The sequence below is a fragment of the Homo sapiens genome, chromosome 7 (genome assembly GCF_000001405.40).
Source record: "Homo sapiens chromosome 7, GRCh38.p14 Primary Assembly".
NCBI classification, from domain to species: Eukaryota; Metazoa; Chordata; class Mammalia; order Primates; family Hominidae; genus Homo; species Homo sapiens.
In genome coordinates, this window is record NC_000007.14 from 158,102,599 (window position 1) to 158,127,513 (window position 24,915).

General features: G+C 51.7%; 1 protein-coding gene across 14 annotated transcripts in view, besides 3 other annotated features; it reads right to left on the reverse strand.

Annotated features, from left to right (window-relative positions):
- The window catches only part of PTPRN2 (protein tyrosine phosphatase receptor type N2), a 1,048,768-nt gene that overhangs the window by 563,543 nt on the left and 460,310 nt on the right, over positions 1-24,915 (reverse strand). For 10 of the 14 annotated variants that reach the window (NM_130842.4, NM_001308267.2, NM_002847.5 and 7 more), the window contains one exon: positions 8,231-8,317. The exons of the other annotated variants lie outside the window; for them this stretch is intronic. In NM_130842.4, the coding sequence (NP_570857.2) occupies positions 8,231-8,317 (87 nt within the window). The remainder of the gene's footprint in view (positions 1-8,230; positions 8,318-24,915) is intronic. 14 annotated transcript variants of the gene reach the window in all.
- Positions 6,999-7,293: an enhancer, noted in NCBI's record as "tiled region #5343; HepG2 Activating non-DNase unmatched - State 15:Elon, and K562 Activating DNase matched - State 9:DNaseU". NCBI's record gives its function as "activates a minimal TATA promoter and a strong SV40 promoter by Sharpr-MPRA in HepG2 and K562 cells {active_cell/tissue: HepG2 | K562}" and the evidence as "EXISTENCE:reporter gene assay evidence [ECO:0000049][PMID:27701403]".
- Positions 8,221-8,952: an enhancer, noted in NCBI's record as "H3K4me1 hESC enhancer chr7:157903511-157904242 (GRCh37/hg19 assembly coordinates)". NCBI's record gives its function as "activates a minimal SCP1, AML or CMV promoter by ChIP-STARR-seq in primed H9 embryonic stem cells {active_cell/tissue: H9 hESC(primed)}" and the evidence as "EXISTENCE:reporter gene assay evidence [ECO:0000049][PMID:30033119]".
- Positions 9,367-9,868: an enhancer, noted in NCBI's record as "H3K4me1 hESC enhancer chr7:157904657-157905158 (GRCh37/hg19 assembly coordinates)". NCBI's record gives its function as "activates a minimal SCP1, AML or CMV promoter by ChIP-STARR-seq in primed H9 embryonic stem cells {active_cell/tissue: H9 hESC(primed)}" and the evidence as "EXISTENCE:reporter gene assay evidence [ECO:0000049][PMID:30033119]".

Sequence of the window (24,915 nt, forward strand, 5' to 3'; positions counted from 1 at the left end):
AGAATCACAGAGCATGCCCCATGTATTTGATATATGGAGAGAGGCAGAAGGGGGTGTGGGATGGGCCTGCAGCTTTGCGGGTGTTGGAGGGATGAGGCCTTTGTTGTTCAAGGACTCATTGCATCACGCTTGAATCACACTTGCACTTAAGATGCAAGTGTGCACTTGCACACTTCTCTGCAGTCACTGAGCCGGGTTCAGGACATAGATAGGCACTGAGGAGCTGATGGTCTGGGGAGAAAGACAGCACACGGCTAATGTTCTGGGGGCCACGGTGCAGGGAAGGCACTGCAGACCCGGGAGGACACACCCCCAGGACAGTACCTCATGCTCCTCAGCGGCATCAGAGCTGAGTCCTAGACAGGGAGCCTGACGGGACAGGAGCTGGGGCATCAGTCCATGGGGAACCCCTCCTTCTGAAATAAGCCATCAGCAGGACCCAGTAAGGCCTGGGTGTCCAGACATGCACCCGTCCCTGTCTGACAGCAGAAGCAGGCGTGAGCACCTAGAACAAAGGGCCTGCGGTCATTGGCTGCAGTCAGTGTGAGGCTCCCACTTACCACCTGTGGCCTCATCCTCCCTGTGCGCATGGCCTGGGCCCACGATGAGTTCCTGAGTCCTAAAACTAGGCGCCTTCCTGGGGGCCATAGGGAGGGATAGTGCCAAAGATACAGGCCTGGGATGGAATCCTTCGTGGAAAGGAATGCAGTTTGAACCATTCAGGACACTTGATGGCAGGTGGCTCCTTCCAGTTCAAAGTAAGAGGTAAAAAGCCTTAAAATAACAGCAGTAGGAAAAAGAACGCGAAGAGCCCTGCACACAGGTGAGACTCAAAGACCATCAGGAAAACTGCACTTTCTGGACTAACGTGGCTGTGCCCATGGAGCAGCGATGTCCGAGGCAGGGCCCACTCTCTGGGCCCCAGGAGATTCCCTTCCTCTCCAGCCTCACTTCCCTAGCATGAGTTGTACTCAGAATGTCTGAGGTCACTGGCAGTTCCAGAACCTTCTCTAGCACTGTCCGATTTGTTTGTCTCATGAGCCAGGTTTCAAACAGCTCAGGGGCAGGGATGAGTGTTCCCCTTCTTACATGTCCTGCTCTGTGCCAGGTCAGTGCAGGCCCCCACTTGATGTGATGGACACCAATGGTGTCGGGGGCCACAGCACACTGCTCTTTGTAATGCCCATGAAGTCAGATCATCCCACTCAGCCCATGATGGTTAGCAGCCTGGACACATTTCCTTCTGGTTCTTAGAGACAGATTATTATTATTTTTTTTTTTTGAGATGGAGTCTTGCTCTGTTGCCCAGGCTGGAGTGCAGTGGCGCGATCTCAGCTCACTGCAACAACTGCCTCCCGGGTTCAAGCAATTCTCTGCCTCAGCCTCCCAAGTAGCTGGGATTACAGGCACCTGCCACCATGCCCGACTAATTTTTGTATTTTTAAGTAGAGATGGGGTTTCACCATTTTGGCCAGGCTGGTCCTGAACTCCTGAGCTCATGATCCACCCGCCTCAGCCTCCCAAAGTTCTGGGATTACAGGCATGAGCCACCGTGCCTGGCCTAGAGACAGATTTAAGGCAATGGAGCATCAGGGCATCCTGCCTGAGATTTCTTTTCTGTGCTTCCTCACTATGCCCTCCCCAGAGCAGTCTGAGGCATCAGAAGGCCTGAGGAAGGCCAGGATGAAGACAATGGAGGTCAGGTGAATCTCAGGCTCAAAGACTCCTGAGAAAGGCCCTGGAAGACACATAAGAATCAAGACAACTTAAGAGCAAAGATACCGCTGTGAAAATCAGGGATTTGTGGATGGATAAAAAAGTCATAGATGAGGAAATAGTAAGACACCAAGATCAGCAGCAGGGCCCCTCACAAGATGAAAAAGGAGATGAAGACTATAGGGCTCACCTAGGCAGGGACAGAGAGGAGAACAGAAGGGAGAAAAGAGAGAGAACAGGACTGATGGAGGCCTTGTCAGTAGTGGAGGAGAGCTTGAGGAAGAGCCAACAACCACCCATGATCACAACCATCCCAGCTCCATCCCAAAATCCATCCCAGCTCCAACCAGCACCAACCGCAGCTCCATCCTCAGCACTATCCCAACTCCACTCAGCTCCATCAAACTCCATCCCAGCTCCATCCTCAGCTCCTTCCCAACTCCACTCAGCTCCATCAAACTCCATCCCAGCTCCACCCTCAGCTCCATCCCAACTCCACACAGCTCCATCAAACTCCATCCCAGCTCCACCCTCAGCTCCTTCCCAACTCTACTCAGCTCCATCAAACTCCATCCCAGCTCCACCCTCAGCTCCATCCCAAGTCCACACAGCTCCATCAAACTCCATCCCAGCTCCACCCTTATCCAAACTCCATCAGAACTCCACTCAGCTCCATCAAACTCCATCCCAGCTCCATCAAACTCCATCCCAGCTCCACTCTCAGCTCCTTCCCAACTCCACTCAGCTCTATCAAACTCCATCCCAGCTCCATCCTCAGCTCCTTCCCAACCCTACTAAGTGTCATCATACTCCATCCCAGCTCCATCCTCAGCTTTATCTCAACTCCAGTCAGCTCCATCAAACTCCACCCTAGCTTCACCCTCAGCTCCATCCCAACTCCACTCAGCTCCATCAAACTCCATCCCAACTCCACCCTCAGCTCCATCCCAACTCCACTCAGCTCCATCAAACTCCATCCCAACTCCACCCTCAGCTCCATCCCAACTCTATCCCAATTCCACTCAGTTTCACTGAACTGCATCCGAGCTCCATCCTCATCCTAGCTCCATCCCAACTGTGCTCAGCTCCGTCAAACTCCATCCCAGCTCCATCCCAACTCCACTGAGCTCCATCAAACTCCACCCTAGCTTCACCCTCATCCCAGCTCCATCCCATCTCCACTCAGCTACAGCAGATTCCATCCCAGCTCTACCCCAGGTACATCCAAGGCTTCAATAATCCCCAGCTCCATGAACTTCCATCCAGCTCCATTCCTATCCATCCCTACTCCATCCCAAGCTGAACCAAGCTCCATAGACTTCCATCCAGATTCATCAACTCTATCCCAGACCATGGAGCTCCATCCACCTCCATCCCAGCTCCACCTCATCTCCATCCACAAATCCATCCCAGCTCTATCCATCTCCATTGTATCTCCATCCAGTTCCATCCAGATGCATGCCCTGCTTTATCCTTATCTCCATCAATTTCCATCCTAGCTCCATCTTACGCCATGCAGCCCCATCCAGCTCCATTGCAGCTCCACCCAGCTTCATCCCATCTCCATACTACTCTATACCCGGCTCCATCACTACTCCATCTCATCTCCATACTACTGTATACCCAGCTCTATCACTGCTCCATCCCAGCTCCATCCAGTTCCATCCCCTCCTTCATCCAGCTCCACTGAATTCCATCCCCATCTCTCTTCTGTTTTATTCCCAGCTCCTTCCATCTCCATTCCAACTCCATTCAGCTCTATCCTAGATCATCACTGCTCCATTCTAGCTCCATCCTGCTCTGTCCTCAGATTCATCTCAGCTTTTTTTCTGAGCTTCATCCCATCTCCATTTCCAGTTCCTTCCCTGATCTATCTTAGCTCTATCCCAGTCCATCCCAGCCCCATCCACCTAGCTTCCCCGCAGCTCCCTCTAGCTTCCCCCCAGCTCCATTTCTGCTCTATCTCATTTTTATCCTTATTCCTTACAAGTGGCATCTCCAGCTCCTTTCTGAGCTTCATCTCAGCTCATCTCCCTCTCTCTTGAGTTCCATCCCAACCTCCACCTCTGCTCCCTCCCAGCTCCAGCGCAGTTTCCTCCAAAGCTCCACCATCACCTCCATCCTTGGCTCCAGCTTCTTTCTTAGCTCCCTCCCTGCCTCCACACACACACCTCCGTGTATCATCTGGAAGAAGCTATTTCCACCTTTTCTGACTCACTGTTTATCACTGCTCAGAAGTGTGCCACTTTGGGAATATCCAAAACACTGATAAAGAGGATGTCTCCAGGGGCTGATGAAATGAGCCTCTCCACACAAACGCCTACCTGTGGAGTCTGCCCTTGGGGATATAACCCTGTCACACTATCTGTGCCCTGCTCCCCGAAGGTGATAGAGTGCCTGTTACATGATTTTCACTAGTGTCCCAGGTCACAGGTTCACAGAAGATTAATCCTTGAGTAATCACTAAAGATGAAGTAGGCAAACCCCTCTAATTTTCAAAATATAAAACTATGGCCCAGAGAGGAAAAGTCACTTCCCCAGGATCCCATAAAACCAGATTATCTAATTCTCCTTCAGCATAAAGAGGAAGATTTTAAGATCCTGGAAGCATCTCAGCTCTTTCAGGTCTTGGGAGCTTCTTCTATTTTCAACCTCTGTGAAATCTGTCCTGTGTGGTTTCCCTAGAGTTAATATTTCTTCCCTAGGAACCCAAAACACTGACTGGGAGCTACCTCACAAGAAACCAAGGTGGTGCCAACATGCACACTTGTCTCTGTTCTCACATACACCTAAGGGTCCACGTGCCCCACATCGCTGCTGCCCCCCTTCTCTTCCCTTACCTCCATCTCCTGATCCCATCAGAAACTGGGATCTTGCTGTCCACTGTACATTAAGGTTATGTCATATACACCTACCCAGATCTGTCCCCTAAGTCACCTGGACAGCACCCCTTAGAAGTCATCCAGGTACCTGAAACAAACCTATCAATCAAACCTGTTAGGAAGCTCCCTCAAACCCTCCCCCCTCCTAAGTCCCTGGTGTGCTGAAAGCCACTCCATACATTTCCAGTACCCTCAGTCACATCAGAAGTTAAAACACTGAAGTATTTCCTACCAGGTGGGAAACAGCTGCAGCCCCTGCCCACCCGCCACCTCCAGAACCCCAGATGCCCAAACATCCCAGGCCACTCTGGGAACAACAGGCCCTCCCCATTGTGAGCCACAGGGAAAACACTTGACTGCCCAGGGGCCACCAGGACTTCTGCCTGAGGCCCTACTTGCCTGTTTCCATGGGCAGGCATCACACTGTGTAGATCAACACACACTTTGCACTCAGATCTACCCTCATCCTTGAAGCTGCCTTTCTACAATTCTTCAAATCCTGCTTCCCAGGCAGAAGTCACCCAGTGGCCACCCACTGCAGTCACGCTGTACCTGCTCTCTTCCCTCACCTGCATCTTCTCGTGTCCCCTGCCCACAGCAGCCCATGAACATGCCCCCTCTTTCATGTGGATATCTGCATCTGCCCTGCACCTGCCCCCTCTCACACATGGATCCCTGCACACCGTCTGCCCACAGCAGGCCCATGTACCTGCCCCCTCTCTCACATGGATCTGGGAAAGTCCCCTGCCCACTGCAACTTGATGCACCTGCCCCCTCCCTCACCTGGATCTCTGCACCTCTGCTGCCTACTGCAGGCCCACACACCTGCCCCCCAAAAAACATCTGCATCTCAGCATAGCCCCTTCCTACTGCATTCACCCTGTGCCTGGTCCCACTCTTACCTGGATCTCTGCAAACCACCTGCCCACTGCAGCCCTGAGTACGTGACCCTTTGCTCACCTGGATGTCTGCATGAGCCTGCCAATTAAAGCCCCATGCACCTGCCACCTCTCACCTGGATCTCTACAGCCCACTCACCCACTATAGCCCCACAAATAGCCCCCCCTCACCTGGATCTCTGTGCTCCCATTGCCACCACACCCGCCTTGCACCTGCTCCCTCCTTTACCTTCCCCAGGTGGCCTCAGGGCTGCTCTCTCTCAGCTCTAGTCAGACCATCTCACTGTGTTCACCCTGTAGGGTCCTCTCACTCTACATACTGGGTCCCTAAATGGCCTCTCTGTCCCTGCTGAGCAGTCCTACCTGGCCTGCCCACCGGACCACCCCATTTCAGGGAAACCCCAGCAGCCCTGGCATGTATGGAGCCCCCTGTCCCTCCACATCTTTCCTGTCCATGGACATTTCCTTGAACCTGCTCATTGCATATGTCTGTACCCTAGGAACGGTGTGGGCCACAGTGAGCAGTGTGGAGTTGCATGTCACATCTCTCTCTGGGACGCCTCCATGTGTCCTTCAGATTTCTACTTCTAGAAACTTCTGATCCCAGGCTGGCTGGGGTGCTTCTCATGCATGTCCCCTAGTGCCCTCCATGCTAATGACCCATACACTCTTCTGTCTTTTCCTAATAAATGGCAGAATTGAGGCAGGGCCCATGTATCTCAAAGGGGATGCCCAGCTCCTGGTGCGAGGCCAGGTTGCCACAGGTGCCCAGTGAGCATCTGCTGTGAGGAGCCACTGAGTGAACGAGGTCAACCTGTGTGAAGGGGCCAGTGAGTGAATGACATCAACCCTGTGTGAAGGAGCCAGTGAGTGAATGACATCAGCCCTGTGTGAAGAGTCAGTGAGTGAATGACATCACCACTGTGTGAAGGAGACAGTGAATGAATGACATCACCCCTGTGTGAAGGAGACCGTGAGTGAATGACATCACCCCTGTGTGAAGGAGCCAGTGAGTGAATGACATCACTCCTGAGTGAAGGAGACAGTGAGTGAATGACATCACCCCATGTGTGAAAGAGACAGTGAGTGAATGACATCACCCCTGTGTGAAGACTCAGTGAGTGAATGATGTCACCCCTGTGTGAAGGAGCCAGTGAGTGAATGACATAACTCCTGAGTGAAGGAGACAGTGAGTGAATGACATCACCCCTGTGTGAAGGAGACAGTGAGTGAATGACATCACCCCTGTGTGAAGGAGACAGTGAGTGAATGACATCACCCCTGTGTGAAGGAGACAGTGAGTGAATGACATCACCCCTGTGTGAAGACTCTGTGAGTGAATGATGTCACCCCATATGTGAAAGAGACAGTGAGTGAATGACATCACCCCTGTGTGAAGGGGCCAGTGAGTGAATGACGTCAACCCTGTGTGAAGGAGCCAGTGAGTGAATGACATCACCCCTATGTGAAGACTCAGTGAATGAATGACATCACCCTGCGTGTAGGAGCCAGTGAGTGAATGACGTCACCCATGTGAAGAGTGTCTGAATGATGTCACCCCTGTGTGAAAGGCTCAGTGAGTGATGTCACCCCTGTGTGAGGGAGACAGTGAGTGAATGACGTCACCCCTGTGTGATGAGTCACTGAGTGAATGATATCACCCCTGTGTGAAGCGTCAGTGAGTGAATGACGTTACCCCGGTGTGAGGGAGCCAGTGAGTGAATGATGTCACCCGTGTAAAGAGTCAGTGAGTGAATGACGTCACCCCTATGTGAAGGGGACAGTGAGTGAATGATGTCACCCCTGTGTGAAGAGTCAGTGAGTGAATGACGTCACTCTGTGGGAGCCAGTGAGTGAATGACGTCACCTGTGTGAAGAGTCACTGAGTGAATGAAGTCACCCTGTGTGAAGGGACCAGTGAGTGAATGATGTCACCCGTGTGAAGGGGCCAGTGAGTGAACAACACGTGTAGGCAGGCACCCCTCGGTCCACAGGCAGGTGGGCACACAGCCCGGGCCGGCCTCTTGTCTCACGTCCTCTGTGGATGTCACTCTACCCTCCCTCTTCTCTCTGACCTCTCCACACCCAGCTGTGCGCTGTGGGAGCTCCTGCAGCTTCTGCACTCAGCCATCTCTGCTCCAAGCTTCACATATGCACGCATGGTTCCTCAAGCACTTGTCGTGAGACAGGTAAGAGGCTGCCCCTGTGTGTACTCACCCACCAGCCCTGCATGCCTCATGCCCACAACTCTCTAAACCAGGTCACGCTGAGACCATGGCCATGCCTGCCATGGAAGCTGCAGAGACTCGGGATCCAAAGCCAGGTCTCCGAAGGGCAGCGCATTTTCCTGACAGCCAGGGACAGGGCCGTGTCCACAGCAGGTGCTCATGAACGCTGCACAGTGTTCTCTGGGGTGGGCCCTCCAGAGGCTCCCACACATTGGCATAGGACATGTGCAGAATGTTCTAGAGCCTTCGGTGGTTACAGCACCAAAGGTTTGACACTTGGCTGCAGCGACACTGTCCTTCAGGAGATTTTCATCCTTCCCCTTAAACACTGGTTTCCACTGCCTCTAAATAACTTACCAAAGCTGCTGAAATCACCTTTCACTTCTCTAAACAGGTTCCCTCATGTAATTAACAAGAGCCATGGGCTCGCAGCTCCTTCCCTCCCACCCAGTCTCTGCGACCAAGCAACAGGAGCCAAACAGAAACCCCAGGGCCCCGTACTTACTCCACGTCAGCGAACGCACTGCTGGGCACCTGCAGGAGGCGGGCGACGTCCTCCACCAGCCGCCTTCCTTCCTCGGGGCGCAGGGGGCTGCGGATGACAGCAGGGATGGGGAGCAGTCACCACAGAGCCAGCAGTCCTGGAGAACTAAAGCCCTGTGGCCCCACAGCCCCGCTCCCTGGTCCCCACACACACCCTGCTCTCCTGGCCTGGGGTCAGCTGCCCCCTCAGGCACAAGGAGTCACCTGAGTTTCCAGCAACAAGACAAACAGTGCAGTGCGGACGGGGCTGTGGGAATCGCAAGTGGCCCACCGTGTGGAGACTGGCTCCTCTCAGCCTTCAGTGAAAATACAATAAAGGGGAGAAGGGAGAAGGGACAGGCAGGTGCGGCGGATGCTGGGACTCTGACTGAGGATGGGGCGGATCCATGGAGAAAGCATCTGTTTTTAATGGGCTCATTTCTGATGTGAACCAGGCCCCAGTGAGGGGCAATTTAACTACCCAATGGAAGTGTGAGCATGGAAACCAGGCAGCCAGCCCACTGGCAGCAACTCAGGGCAGGGGGCGGGGGCACTCCCGGAAGGCACTGTGGCCGCAGACTCCCCACAAGGCCACCTGGCTGGGGACCTGTCCGTCAAGAGGCAAGAGCCGTCACCAGGGTGGTTTGCAGCTTGATGACTCATCCTGAAGGCCAGCATTCAGGTTGAAAGTCACAAGTTGCCTGTGAAATCCTGTTAGTACCACTTTAATGGAGTATTAAGTTACAATATTATGTAAAAGCATGTTGTACCGCAAAGGCTTTCACCCCAGCAGACCAAAACGCCTGCATTCCTCATCCAGTGAGCGTGCAGGATGCCTGCAGGGCACCAGGAGCTGCTTCCAAATACAGCAATGAACAGCAAGACCAGCCCTGCCCTCGAGGGGTTCACATTCTAGAGATGCTGGTGAATAGAAATCAATCATGCTATGATGGGTTGAATTATGTCACCTAAAAATTCATATGTTGAAATCCTAAAACCCAAATAATGTGAACTGATTTGGAAATAGGGCTATCATAGATTTAGTTAAGCTGAGGTCAATAGGGTGAACCCTAAGCCAATATCACTGGTGTCCGTATAAAAGGAGGGTTTGGACTCAGAGACAAACGCACAGGGTGTCGCAAAGACATGGGGAGAAACCACCCACAAGCTGAAGTCATCTCAGGCCAGTAGCAGCAGGGGCGAGGCTGGGAGCAGACCCTCCTCAGCCTCAGGGGAACCAGCCCTGCCCACACCTGGGTCTTGGACTTCCAGCCTCCAGGACAGGGAGAAGATGGATTTCCCACTTTGGAAGTGTGCGCCAGCAGCCCAGGCAGACTAGCTCCTGTCGGCTGACAAGTTCTCTGGAGGAGACAGCTGGGTAGAGAAGTGGCATGCAGGGCTGTGGAGGGAAGGGCAGAGAGGAGAGACTGTCTTGTAAAGTGGGCTATAGGAGGCCTCTCCAGTGGGGCCCCGTTTGAACAGAGGTGAAGGAGCTGGAAACAGGGTATCAGACAGTGAGCAGAGAAGGCAAGGGGGCCGCGGTGCCACATGGTGAGGAGGTGAAGTCACAGAGCAGCTGGGTGGACATGGCCTGGAGACGAGTGCAGGAGGCCGTCAGCTGGGGCAGGGGCCTGAGCTGGCCACCACGGCTGTCCGGTGGGGAGCCTGGGGATCTGGAGGGACATCTGAGGCCATGCCGGTGGAGTCCGCTGGCACTGGGAAAACACAAGATGGGCAGAAGCCCCAGGAAGGCCCAGCTGGGAGTGGTGCTGACAGAGTCAGGAGTTTACATCCTGCACACGTGGACATGGGGACCCCAGCAGGGCGTCCAGGCTAGGTGCTGAGGGGCGACGTGTCTGTCAGTGCAGAGGTCAAAGGCCCCAGCGGGGCATCCAGGCTGGGTGCTGAGGGCAGTGCATCCATGTGTGCAGAGGTCAGAGGCCCCAGCAGGGTGCCCAGGCTGGGTACTGAGGGGCGATGTGCCTGTGAGTGCAGAGGTCAGAGGCCACAGCAGGGCGTCCAGGCTGGGTGCTGGGGGCAGTGCATCATGAATGCCGAGACCGGGGAGCTGTACGACCAGAGGTGTTCACTGGCCTCAGGAGGGTGACTGAAGCTGGAGCACCTAAGACGGAGCCTTGCCCCCCAGCATTTAGGATCCCCCAGCATTGAGGGCCCCCCGGCATTTAGGGCCCCCCAGCATTGAGGGCCCCCCAACATTTAGGGCAATGAGGGGAACTGGCAAAAGAGAATGAAAAGGACTGTGACAGAGGCAAGCAGCGAGCTGGCAAGAATTCCAAGAAGGAGAAGGGCCGGGCCTCAGATTGGTCCAGAGAGATGAGGATGGGGAGCTGAGGCCGAGCTTAGCGGGTCATGATGGCTGTGGGCTGACCTCACAGGAGCTCTTCTGCAAGGCTGTAGGGACCTGCAGCCTGTTCAGCATTGGAGGGATGGAGAGTAGGAAAGGAGAGATGGGGCCAACACTGTAAGAGCTGCCCAGGGTTCTGGGGGCAAGAGGGGCAGTTTCTGTTAAGCTGGAAGACGTCTAGGATGCTAGCATAGGGATAGGAGTGATGAGACAAGGTGCTGGATGTAGGGCATGGCTGTGTGTGCCCAGAGCAGGCAGAGGCCTTAGGCAGGAGTAGGACAATGGTAACAGAACTGGCACCAGGGCTGGAGACCCCAGGCATTCTCTATCCATGACTTACACTCAGGGACCCCTTGGGGAGAGGACCTCAGCAGGGCCTGCAGATTCAGACTCATGAGCAGGCGCATGCCGTGACTAGTCTAGCCTCAGAGCGCAGCTGCACTAGCTGGAGAGAGAGGGTAGTTCTTGGGGGTTATGAATCCTTCCTGGGGACAGAGAGACGCATTGAGGTGGATTCTCATGGGCCTCGCACCTGCAACAAGAAAGCCATCTGATGGCGTCGACGCTACAAGCTGTTGTTGTGGCCACCAGGGACACAGCCTACCATCCTTGGCCAGGACTTCGAGGCACGTAGCAATCCGGGACCAGCTGGGGCACAGGCCGCCTTCCACTCAGGGAGGAGCCACATCTGAGCTCAGGGGCTGAGCCTGTCCCAAAAGCCCGGTACCTCCAGGGAGACCGGTGGCCCCTACATCTGGGTACCCCTCAGAGCCACCTGGGGAGGGTGTCCAGGCCCATGCCTGTCCTGCCCAGCCAGTGTGGCTGCAACTGGAGCCCAGGACAGTGTATTTAAAATAAAAAAACCAAACCAAACAAAAAAACCCTTTGTAGGTGAAGGTGACAGCTGGTCCAGTTTGGGAGTGGTTACAGCAATGGAAAGGTGAGGCTGCATCCACGTACCACAGGCCTTCCCTGCCCAGTCCAGGGCTCTGGGACCTGAGTGGGCCAAGGACTCACCAGGATGGGCCAAGGACTCACCAGGAATGCAGATGCCCCAGCCACCCTCCAGCGTTTCGGAGTCAGGAGGCCACAGGTCAGGCCTGGGAATCTGTGTTTCTCGTGGGTTCCCACTGGTGCTGACACTTGTTCAGGCATCTGCTTTGGGAACCCCTTGGCCAAACTCCCACACCATAAAATCAGCAACAAAGCCACATGACTTCCAACCCTAGACTAACGTAGGTCGCTCAGCTTCAGGCAATCTACACATCAGTTGGGAGGGATGTGGAAGACGTGCCGCGGGAATGCTCTACTCTTCATCTAAGAAATACTTCCTGAGCACTTGTGGTACCAGGCTGAGCCAGGAGCTATGGAAGCAGAGATGAGAGAGGAGGAGGAGCCAGCGGCCCCCGGCAGCCTCTAATCTGGCAGGAACAACGGTAAAGAATATGCATTAAAAAACCCATGGCAAACCCCAGGGAAAAGAGAAGCCACCGGCCACGGCCCTGGGGCCTACATGGGAGCCTGGTCCAGGCTGGGGTAAGGGAGCCCCAGAAGGGTCCCCAAGAACTACCACAGGGCTGAGAGAATGGATCGTGTTACTAGTCTAAGGCACAGAGCGCGAGAGGCAGACGCAGGGATGGAAACAGCAAGCAAATGCCCTCGGGTAGCACAGTCACTCAGAGAACTTGAGAGAAGGGGCAGGGGAGGCACGGATGGCTAGAAGGAAGGGAGCCAACTACATGGGTGCTCCTCACCCATTAAGGGATTGGAGTTTATCCCAAATACAATGGCGAGCTATCAACAGGGCCTAGGCAAGGGCACTGTCCCACTCTCCTGGTCCCAGCTTCTCAGAAGGCTGAGGAGCCAAGATCACTGGAGTCCAGGAGCTCAAGGCTGCAATGAGCTATGATTGCACCTGTGAATAACCACTGCATCCCAGCCTGGGTGAAAGAGCAAGACCCCATATCCAAAATAACAACAACAACAACAACAAAAGTTCCCTCCCCTGGATAAAGAACAGGTTGGAGACCAGAGGAGACAGAAGGGAAACAGCTGGTGGCCTCCAGATTGTCTCAATGAGACATGAGCTCAAGCAGCATGGACCGTGGTAATGGTGACTGAAGTGGACATGGTCATAGACTGCGATGTGTCAGCGGGTAAGGTGTTCAGAACTGTGAGTGAGAAAGGTGGGCTCTGCAGGGTTGAAGGGACAGCAGAGCAGATGCTGTTTTCTGAAGCAGGCTGCTATGAACTAATTGTGACCCCTAAAATCTGTATGTTCCAATCTTTAGCCCCAAGGTGAAGGTGTGAGGAGGAGGGGCCTATGGGAGGTGGTCAGGTCATGAGGGTGGAGTCTCCTAATGAGATCAGTGCCCTCTACAAGAGGCTCTGTAGATCTTTTTCCTTCATGTGAGAAAATGCCATCTGCAACCCAGAAGTGTGCCTCCACCAAGAACCCAAAAATCTACTGGCATCTGGATTCCAACCCCTGGAATTGTGAGGAAGAAATTCCTATTGCTTCTAAGCTGCCCCATCCATGGTGCTTTGTTATAGCACTGCGAGTGGACTCAGGACAGCCCCAGGACAGAGGAAAGATCCTGAGGTCAGCATCAAACACACGGAGTCTGTGTTGCCTTCAAGGCATCAGGTGAAGATATGACAAGACTGGGTGGGCCCTCAACTGTCTGCACTGAGCCCATCCCTCACACTCCACCCTGTGCCACCCTCAGATGGAACAGGGAAGGAGCCTGGTTCGCTCAGGTGAGTAACTGGGAACTTGAGTTTTATAAGACAGGCCCGCTCTGCACACCCTGCATGGAGCGGTGAAGTAAGGACCTCACCCACGTGGGGTAGGCTTTGGCTACTGCACCATGCACCTCTCCCTGCACATGGACACAAGTACTCATTCCACAAGTAGATTCTACATTGGCATTAACTGCATGAATGAATGAACACGAGAATGTCAAAAACAGCAAAAAATCCAACATTTTAAAAATCATTAAAATGTAAACTATTAAATGAACCCCACTCAATTTATAAAGTTTCTGTAAAACTAAAGTAAAGCATGAATTAGTTTTGGGAAGATGGTGAGTAGGAAACACCAGGAATCTGTCTCCCACCTGACAACACTGTGCTAGTAGGATCTGTCTGATGTAACTGATCCTTGAACTCTGAAGCCTAATGAAGGCCTCCGACTTCTAGTGGAAGGTCTGGATACACCTTGCAGTCAATGTCAGCTTTCATCACAGTAGGAGCTACCGCTACTCACCTTCAGCCCTGTGGCAAGCAGCTGTGCACATGTTCCTGGAGCAGCCTGCACACACTGGCAGGAGCCAGAACAGGCAATACAGATGTTGTCCTCCAAATATTGGGAATCTGCAATCTCACTGCTGATTGCTGCTTCTCATCACAGAGGTGCAGGAAAGGAGGAGGGCACCATTGTTTGGCCACCTCCTCATTGTTGTTGCTCCTCCCCCTCTGGCCAAAATGACTTACAGGGGATTTAAAATGCTAACACCCATTTTTCCCACCTTCATTTTTCTCTTTTTCCGCTTTTGGGAGCCAGAAATTAAAGACCAGAATATTCAAAAGTAACTGAATATACAGGGAAAATTAGAAAGTCACCACACATGCTCAGGGAAAGGCTCAGATAATACCACAAGTTTACACCTCAGGCTGATCCTTGGCACAAAGACAGCCTACAAAAAATTTAAAAGAAAGATAAACAAAAAATAGCAAACCTATGGAGAGACAATCTGATTTCCAGAGTTAGATTAAAATTTCTAGTTTTCAACAAAAAATTGCAAGAAACAAGAAACAAAGAAACAAGAAACTACAGCCCATTCAAAGGAAAAAGGTAAGTCAACAATAATTGTCTCTAAAAAAAGACCTGATGGCAGATGTACTAGGCAAAGACTTTAAAACAATTGTCATAAAAATGCTTGAAGAACAAAAGAAAGATGTAAAGAAAGTCAGAAAAATTATGTATGAAAAATGAAAATGTCAAAGAGAAAACCTAAAATATAAAAGAAATTCTGAAGCTCAAAATACAATAGCTGAAATTAAAAAGTTCACTAGAGAGATTCAAAGGCAGATTTGAGCAAGAAAAATAAAGAATCAGTGAACTTGAAGATAGGACAATGGAAATTATTCAGTCTAAGAAATAGAAAAAAAGATTGAAGAAAAGTGACAAAACCCTAAGGGACATGTGGGATACCACTAAGAGAACCAGTATATGAATTGTGAGAGGAAATTGTGCCCAAAAGAAAAAAAAGAGATAAAGGGGCAGAGAAAATACTTGAAGAACAATACCTGAAAACTTCCCAAGTTTGATGAAAGACATGGATATAAGCATCCAAGAAGCTCAGTGAACTCCAAGTAAAATTAACTCAGAGACACATTTTAACTAAATTGTTAAAAGACAAGGACAAACAGAGAATTCTCCTCTTACATTTGAAAGCAGCAAGAAAGAAGCAGTTCATCACACACCAGGCTTTCCAAATAATATTATCAGCAGAAACTTTGCAGAACAGAAAGCAGTGAACCAATATATTCCAAGTGCTACAGGAAAAGAAAAAAAAAACCTGTCAACCAAGAATCCTATATCCAACAAAATTGCACTTCAAAAGTGAAGAAGAAATTAAGACATTCTTAGATAAACCAAAGCTGAGAGAGTTTGTTATCACTAGACCTGCCTTGCAAGAAATATTCCAAGGAGCCCTGCAGGATGAAATGAAAGGACACTGGACAATAACTCAAAGCCATATAAAAAATTAAAATCTCAATAAAGGCAAATATATGGTGAATTATAAAATATAGTATTATTGTAACAGTGGTTTGTAACTCCTTTTAGTTCTCTATATGATTTAAGAGACTAGTACATATCTTAAAAACAATTACTAGTTAAAACTAGTATTATAACTTTGGTTTGTAACTCCACATTTTGTTTTCTACATAATTTAAGAAACGAATAAATTTTAAACAATTATTAGTTTATATCCTGGGACATACAATGTATAAGGATGCAATTTTGTGATATCAATAGCCAAAAAGGGTGGGTAAATAGCATAAAGGAGCATAATTTTTGTATGTTATTGAAGTCAAGCTAGTATAAATTTAAGTTAGTGTTGTAATTTTCAGATGTTAAATCTAATCCTCTATGATAAATACAAAGAAAATAGCTACATAATACGTACAAAAAGAAGAAAGGAATTTAGGCATTTAATTTTTAAAAATCTACTAAACACAAAAGAAGATAGTAATGCAGAAAATGAGTGGCAAAAAATCCATAATGCACATAGAAAACAAATATTAAAATGACAGAAGTCCCTCCTCATCATTAATTACTTTAAATGTAAATAGATTAAACTCTCCAATCAAAAGACAGAGATTAGCAAAATATGATATTCCACAGATCTTTTAAGGACTATTTCTATAGTACACAACAAGGGATATCTATTTGCATTAACTATAAGCATAAACATGACAGTCTTTGTTTTCAAGCATGTCAATAATGTCTTCTTTTTTTGTCGCCCAGGCTGGAGTGCAGTGGCATGATCGTTGCTCACTGCAGCCTCAACCTTTCCAGGCTCAGGTGATCCTCCCACCTCAGCCTTCCCATTTGCTGACATTACAAGTTCATGCCAGCATGCCTTGCTAACTTTTCTATTTTTTGTAGAGATGGGGTTTTGCCATGTTGCCCAGGCTGGTCTCAAGCTCCTGGGCTCAAGAAATCCACCACTTTGGTCTCCCAAAGTACTGAAATTATAGGCATCAGCCACCACACCTGGCCAATATCTTCTTTTAATATAAGAGATAGCACTGTGAGTGTATTATTGCTACATTTTTAGTTTAACGTAAAATTTCTCATTTTGACTATTAAAGGAAAGTAAAATATTTACATCACTATTTAAGAAACCTCATAATGTACCTAGCGTGTATAGAGTACTCTTAAAACTCAACAACAAAAATACAAACAATACCATTTAAAAATGGGCAAAGGACTTGAATAGACATTTTCCTCCAAAGAAAATATACAAATGGCCAAAAGCACATGAAAAGATGCTCAACATCACTAATCATTAGGAAAACACAAATCAAAACTACAATGTGATACCACCTCATACCTATCAGGATGGCCACTGTAAGAAGAAAAAAACCCAGAAAATAGTAAACGTTGGCAAAGATGTGGCTAAATTGGAACTCCTGTGCCTTGTTGGTGAGAATGTAACACGGTATATCAAGTGTGGAAGAGTATGGAGACTCCTCAAAAAAATGAAAAATAGAATTGCACTTTGATCGAGTAACTCCACTCCTTGGTATCTACAGTAGTCCCCCATTAGCTGCAGTTTGTTTTCTGTGTTTTAGGTACCTGAGGTACAGTACAAGAAGATATTTGAAAGAGGGAGAGAGAGAGAGAGAGAGACACCATATTTACACAACTTCTATTACAGTAAATTGTTATAATTGTTCTATTTTATCACTACTGTTGTTAATCTCATACTCTAATTTATAAATTAAACTTTATCATAGGTATGTATGTATAGGAAAAGCCATAGTTTATATAGGGTTCTGCACTATCTGAAGTTTCAAGCATCCACTGGGGTTCCTGGAATGTCTCCCCCTTAGATAAGGGGGAGACTACTTTGCCCAAAAGAATTGAAAACAGGGTCTCAAAGAGATGTTAGTGCCTCACATTCACAGCCGCATTATTCTCAATCACTAAAGCATGGGGGCAACTGAAGGGCCTAGTGATGGACAAATGGAGGAGCAAAGCGTGGCCTGCACCAAAAGTAGAATATTATTTAGCCCTGAACAGGAAGAAATTCAGACACATGCGACAACAGGGATGAACCCTGAAACATGATGGTAACTGAAATAACCTGGGCATAAAAGGACAAATTCTGTGTGTCTACCCATGTGAGGTTCCTAGAATCCTCAAATTCAGAGAGACACAGAGTAGAGTGAAGGCTGCCAGGGGCTGGGGTAGGGTAGTGTTTAATGGGGATGAAACTTCAGTTTTACAGGATGAAAAGAGCTCTGGGGATGGACAGCGGTGATGGTTGCACAATAGCACAAATGTTAACGCTACTGAATTCTATGCTTAAACATGGGTAAGACAGTAAACTTTATGTTATCTATATGTTAATAAAATACAAGAAATTGGGAAGATGAAACAAGGTGATTAGTATAAAAGCACCATGACGTGTGGCTGCTCCCCACATCCAAGGCAGTGTACCAGCCTTCGTCCAATCTCTATTTCAGCAGAACACTCCTTGTGGCTCACGGAGAAAGCTGAGCCAAGTTCCTGCTGGATCCCTGGCAAAGCTCCTTTCTGCTCCCTGTCTCCAAGGAAAGCCTGTGGCGTGTTCTTTAAAGTGGATTTTTCAAGGCTGCATTCTGTGTAATTTTACAATTGAGAAACAAGCCATTTTCCTTTAAAGAGTGGCTGCTGGAAGGGGAGGGGTCCCAGATGTCCTCTCTTTTCCTGTACATTTTGGATGTCTGCTCTAACCCAGGTCAGCTCCTGTCCCAAAACATCCTCCAGGGCCATCTGAACAGCTTGTGAAGGGCACTGGTGCCAGAAAAAGTGTCAGAATGGCCAGATGTTGGGCCAGAAGGGAGGCAACAGGGAAGGGAGCCAGGCGGGGCTACAAAGACAAACTCAGGCTGCAGCTGGACAGAGCAATGACCCACCACAGCCGGCTCAGCTCCACCCCGGCTGAGACCAGCCCAGGCTGCTGGGAACTCCAGACTTGCATCCAACCAGCCTCCCTGCTCCAAGCCAAACCCTCCTGGCAGGCAAGTGCGATGCTTCCAGATGAGCCCTTCCTTTTTTTCGTGTGGCTGCAGGTTCCTTCCTCCCGGCTCCTGTGCTCCCCAGCAGCCTGGGCTTTTCTCTCTGCCTGGGCCTGGTGGTGACTGCTCCAAAGGGCCAGCCTACCTGCTCCCATCGCTGACCTGCCTTGCCTCAGCCCCCTGCACCCCAGCCTCCCTGGGCCTCCCCATCCTTGGAGCCATTAGGAAGAGGGCAGGTGCAGAAGGGCAGGTGGAGAAGGCTAGGACCGACCACACCACTCCAATCAGCAAAGACAGAAACTGCTGCTCTTCAGGCTTTCCCTAAAACTCCCTGTGTGCTTTGATCAGCACCACTCAGCTCATGACTTATTTTAAAAGGTCTCCAGTACTTTCATATTTTAATCCTGCCTCCCCCTACAAACTGCAAACTCATTGAGGGCAGGAGCCACGTGTCATCTGAGTTTGTTTCTTCCAAGCCTACTGCCCCCTGCGGAGCATAAGCCAACTTCCCAATCAATGTTTGCTACCAAATTCCATGAGTCTCCTTTTCTAGCATGTTTCAAACCAAGGGGATGGTATGAGGACATGGGAGGGGCTCCACCACGAATCCTGGGCCCAGCCCTCTGCCCTCCATGCTCCAATATGGAAACCAACAGAAGCATCCACAAGACTCCTACAACACCCTGAACACAACAAGGAAGTCCACAAGCCCAGAATGTGTTTGTGAACCCGCTGCCTCCACAAGCCAAGGTGTCCCCAGTTATACAAAGTGTACGGGACGTGCAGTCCACTCCCTTCCTTCCTCAGCCTGGCAAGGGTGACAGTGCCGGCCAGGTGGGCAGGGGCATCACGGCTCCTCTGTAAAGCAGAAGAGTGCTGGCTCCATTCTGTAAAGCAGACAAACAAGACAGGGCTGACTGTGCTCACAATGATCACGCAGCCATTCCTATTTCATCTCTAAAGCCACAGCCATCATCTGTCATTCCGAGGCCTGAACTTCCTTAGAAAGCAGTTGGACGTCATCCTGAAAATGAGTGGGAGGATCCAGCAGGTGCGACGTGCTGTGTCTGCATGTGGCGGCTTCCACCCTCAATACCTGGACACTAATATTGCCGTAGAAGAGAAACAGGCATGAGAACTTTTATGGGGTCAGGGTCAGAGCTAGGAGTGCCTGTGAGGGCAGTGGAAAGGACTTTCAAAGCTGAAGATGGCGTCTCCTCTCTCTAGAGTCTTTCAGTTCTGAAGGACAGTGGCAAGTTTGTGACGTCTCTAAGCTCAACCACGTTGGACAAGCCTGTTCCTATGGATCTACTGAATCAGCCACATGGGAGGCCCTAAGGCCTCGGCAAGCACTCACTGGAGGGAGGCTCAGAGTAAGAAGTGACAGTGTCCCTCTTCCACGGTGTCCTCTCAGCCCCGGCACAGTGCTGGGTCTTCCGTGTGGCATCCACATCACCCCGAAATGAGTGCACGGGTGGACGCATGAGCAGAAAATGACTACGGGAGTGTCACCCCTAAAAATCAGACTAGTGAAAAGTACGTAGGGGTCGGAAATATAAAGAGTAGTAAAAACTCTGGGAAGCTCCTGTGCTGGACGCCACACTGAGGCCCCACACAGCGGTGGGATCTGGCATTCAGCAGACCCCTGAGGAACACACTATTATTGGCCTCATTTAAAAGAGAAACCGAGGCTAGAGAAACTAAAGTCATTGCCCAAAATTACACTACTAGGAAACTCCCAGGAGAAAAGCTCAAACGGAACACTTTATCATTCAGGCTATGTTCCAACGTAGGTGCCCAGAAAGGTGGGGTGAGCCCGGGGACCTGTTGCGACCTACACTTGTTCTTAACAAAACCGAAGGAAGCCTGCATAAAACTTCTCCACGTCTCATTTTGGCAGCCTTGTTACTGCCTCTTCCTTGTGGGCCAGATGAAATCAAGCCAAGAACAGGACCCGCCATGACCGACCCTCCTGCTGACCATGCTCTGTGCTTCTGCAGCTTCACCAGCCCGATCTGGGACATTTTACTATTTACTGCAAAACCCACCAGGAGCTAGGGAGCCAAATGTGAAGGGAAAATGAGTCAACTTTGATATAAACTCTTTTGATAAGACAATACTCAAAACCAATAGATAAACGAGGTTTCTTGGGATCAACCAATTATTCTAGTTATCCCTGTTCATCATTAAAACAAACCATGAAATTTATTCTATTTAAATCATCTTATAAAGTAGTTAAAATGTTTCCAGCCCACGGGAACCTCCCCCATGCAGAGAAGCAACGCTTCGAGGGTGGCAAACAGTGGGCTGGGGAGGTGCCCTGACCAACGCGTGGTGACTGACAGGCGCCACAGTATCCTACAGACACCACGGTGACCGACGCCATGGTGACCGACGCCGCAGTGACCGACACCATGTCTGTCTCCACCCTGGATCCCCTGCACGCCCACTCTCTTCCTGCAGGAGTCTAATGTCAGGGTCTGGGAGAAGGAGGTTTTGATGCTTTGTGCACCCAAACTGAACCTTCCTCCTGCGGACCGCCATGCAGCCCCGGAGCTCGTGTGCCGCACCCAGGCCAACGACCCTGGACCACTGCTAGTGGGGCTGTCCACACCATCGACTCTTCCAGGCAGAAAATCAATAGAGGAAAACCACTGTATTCTGACAACTTATTTTTTGGCATAAGGATGAGACTGTACTGCTCACTATAAACACTTTTTAAATGCCAGCAGCTAACTAAAGATCTAGGTACGGAAGGTCTATATAGCGTCACCTTTAAAAAGTGTGCCAAATAGGATCGGGAAGTGCCTCCAGCAGGAGCCGTGAACCCGTGCTGACCCAGGCAGAGCTGGTTCTCTAATCTGATTGGATCTCAGATCCCGTGCCGACCCAGGCGGAACAGGCTCTCTAACCTGATTTGACCTCAGATCCCGTGCCGACCCAGGCGGAGCTGGTTCTCTAATCTGATTCAGCCTCAGATCCCGTGCCGACCCAGGCGGAGCTGGTTCTCTAATCTGATTCGACCTCAGATCCCGTGCCGACATGGACCACCAAGTTACCATGGGACCTGAGTTGCCCATCATGAACTGAATGTTTTCCGACCCACCAAGCCAGAAAGTTGGGTGTACACAGCAGCATTCCATCATCAAATGGAAGTGGTATGTGTCTGGGCCTAAGTAGGCCCTAAAGGCACAAGTTACATAAAGAAGTGCCGCCAATGCCAACGGTCCCCACTCCCGCTATGCTGCCTTCTCTCTCCCAGCCTGCACCTACAGTCTCCTGGAGAGTTCCCTAAAATCAGCTGACGGAGGAAGACCTGGGCCTGGTTTACAGATGGTTCTGCATGATATGCAGGCCCCCACGTTAGTGGACAACTGCAGCACTACTGCCCCTTTCTGGAACATCCTTAAAAGGACAGCGGTGAAGGGAAATTCTCCAATGGGCAGAACTATAGGCTGTACATCTGGTTTACTTTGCTTGGAAAGAGAAATAGCCAAATGTGTGATTATTACAAATTAATAGGCCATGGCCAATGGTTTGGCCAGATGCTCAGAGTCTTGAAGAAACATAATGGAAAATTGGTGACAAAGAGACTTGGGAAAGAGGGGTGTGGACAGACCTCTCTGAATGGGGAGAAGACGTGAACAGGAAGCTGCCTCCCAGACGGGACAGGTGCAGAGCTGGGACCTTCTGCAGGAGCCCAGCTGCCGGGGCGGAGGGAGGGCCTGGTGGAGTGTCCCCAAGATGCACCTGCAGAGCTGCTGGTCAGCCTGGGCCACGCTGGGGCTGGGGTCTGTATCTCAGGACCAGTGGAGTCACAGCCAGATTCCAACAGGAGAGGGTGACGGGGCCAGATTTGGTTTTGTCGAGTCCTCTTTGGGTTCAACGTGCACGGCGGGTGAGAAAGAAAGAGCCGTGATGCTGGTGCGCAAGAGAGAAGGCCCCGCAGTGCGGAGGCAAGAGGCTCAGATGGCCTGGACCAGGGTGGGAGAAGGGAAGAGGGGAGAAGGGGAGACAGCATGGATGGAGCCATAGGAGGGGAGACAGCTGGCCATGGAGGGAGCCGGGTGGGGCACAGAGCCCACTGAGCTGCCGGGCTGGCGAGACATGGCTCAGGCCCAACCATGGCCACCCCCCTGCCTCAAGTGCCTCCCACGGCCGCCTCCCTGTCTCGAGTCCCTCCCAGGGCCACCTCCCTGCCTGAAGTCCCTCCCAGGGCTGCCCCCCTGTCTCGAGTCCCTCCCAGGGCCACCTCCCTGCCTCAAGTCCCTCCCACGGCCGACCCCCTGCCTCAAGTCCCTCCCAGGGCCACCTCCCTGCCTCAAGTCCCTCCCACAGCCGCCCCCTGCCTCGCGTCCCTCCCACGGCCACCCCCCTGCCTCGCGTACTTCCCACGGCCGCTCCCAGCAGGATGGGCTGGACTGTCGGGGATGCTGAGGTTTGGGAGAGTTTTTGTTTACTTCTTCTTCCTCTTTTTCCTGCCCCACCCCCATGCCACTCCTTCTCGCCTTCTTCTCTTCTAATGTACAAGCAACCGTGAACATGTTTACCCATCGGGGCTATAACCCCACACCACCTGAAATCTTCTTAAATGATAATAAATCCATCATGCTACAGATATTCTTTTAAGACCACAAAGCAAAGAGGAGCAAGTGACAAGGCAGGGCATGTCCGCCCTCAGGAGGGGCCTCTACAGAGGTGAGGACTGCGCTTTCTGAACAGGAAGTCACAACACAGCGTGGAGGCTGAAGAACAAAACAGAACCCCTGAAATCTGCCCTGGCGCCAGAAACACAGAATCCATCTTCAGCATCCTCAGGGTTTCCTTTACTCTAACAAGGAAGGACGAGCAGGAAGCATCAGTCCGGACCTCGGCTGCACCCCGTCCTGGCACCCTGCTGGTTCTCGTGATGCGCTCTTCTCGCTGAACCCCTGAGGGGCTCCTGAGCGGTGAGGCCTCCTGGGCAGCCACTAGGATTGGAACTTCCTCTCCACCACACCAGCCCCGGAGAGCGGGCGGCGGAACTTCCTCTCCGCCACACCAGCCCCCAGGACAGCGGGCGGCGGAACTTCCTCTCCGCCACACCAGCCCCCAGGACAGCGGGCGGCGGAACTTCCTCTCCGCCACACCAGCCCCCAGGACAGCGGGCGGCGGAACTTCCTCTCCGCCACACCAGCCCCCAGGACAGCGGCGGCGGAACTTCCTCTCCGCCACACCATCCCCGGAGAGCGGGCGGCGGAACTTCCTCTCCGCCACACCAGCCCCCAGGACAGCGGGCGGCGGAACTTCCTCTCCGCCACACCAGCCCCCAGGACAGCGGGCGGCGGAACTTCCTCTCCGCCACACCATCCCCGGAGAGCGGGCGGCGGAACTTCCTCTCCGCCACACCAGCCCCCAGGACAGCGGGCGGCGGAACTTCCTCTCCGCCACACCAGCCCCCAGGACAGCGGGCGGCGGAACTTCCTCTCCGCCACACCAGCCCCCAGGACAGCGGGCGGCGGAACTTCCTCTCCGCCACACCAGCCCCCGGAGAGCGGGCGGCGGAACTTCCTCTCCGCCACACCAGCCCCCAGGACAGCGGGCGGCGGAACTTCCTCTCCGCCACACCAGCCCCCGGAGAGCGGGCGGCGGAACTTCCTCTCCACCACACCAGCCCCCAGGACAGCGGGCGGCGGAACTTCCTCTCCGCCACACCAGCCCCCGGAGAGCGGGCAGTGGTTCCTGAGCACTCGGTGGGTTTCACATTTCACATCTCACAGTGAGCCGAGGAAGGGGCTGGGGGAACCTGCAGGGCCAGGGCACTCACTGAGGGTGGCAGATGGAGAGACCGAAGCCCCCACCTCCTTCCAGACTTCTGGTTCCAAAGTTCCTCTCCCTGGCCGGCGGATCCCTGCCTTCACTGGCCTCTCTGAATTCCACATTCCAACTGAACCCCCACAGAGGTGAGCACGCAGCAGCCCCTAACGGTGGCCCGGTACCATCTGCCATTTTGCTGCTTGCCTTCTCCGAGGTGCAAGAAAGTTTTGTCATAAGAAACACTTGAAGGAAGAAACATTTCAGCTGCAGCTGTCTCCCTTGTTAGCATTGAGAGGCATCGGAGAGGTCAACGCCGCCCCATGCCACTTTTTGCACATTCTTCCCTCAGCCGGCCTCCCCGCAAGACTCAGGGCTCCAACCTCTCCAGCTTCCCCTCGTGGAAATCCATTGGCTCCTCCTCTTTCAAGCAACACTGTGTTCTTCCCACTGCTGACAGAGGCTGCTCATCCGTGCACCTGTGCCCTGCGTCCTCCTCTGCGTGCACCCTGCGTCCTCCTCTGCTTGCGCCCTGCATCCTCTGCACGTGGCCCGGGCTCTGCTCCACCTGAGCCCCGTTCATCTCTCCACAGTCCAGGAGCCACACACTGCGGCTGCCACTCCAGAGACCAGGAAACCCAAGCACAGGGGCGTTTGCCACATTCTAGGTCTCGGGGCTGCCGTGGGACCCTGACCCTGGATGCCGGACTTCC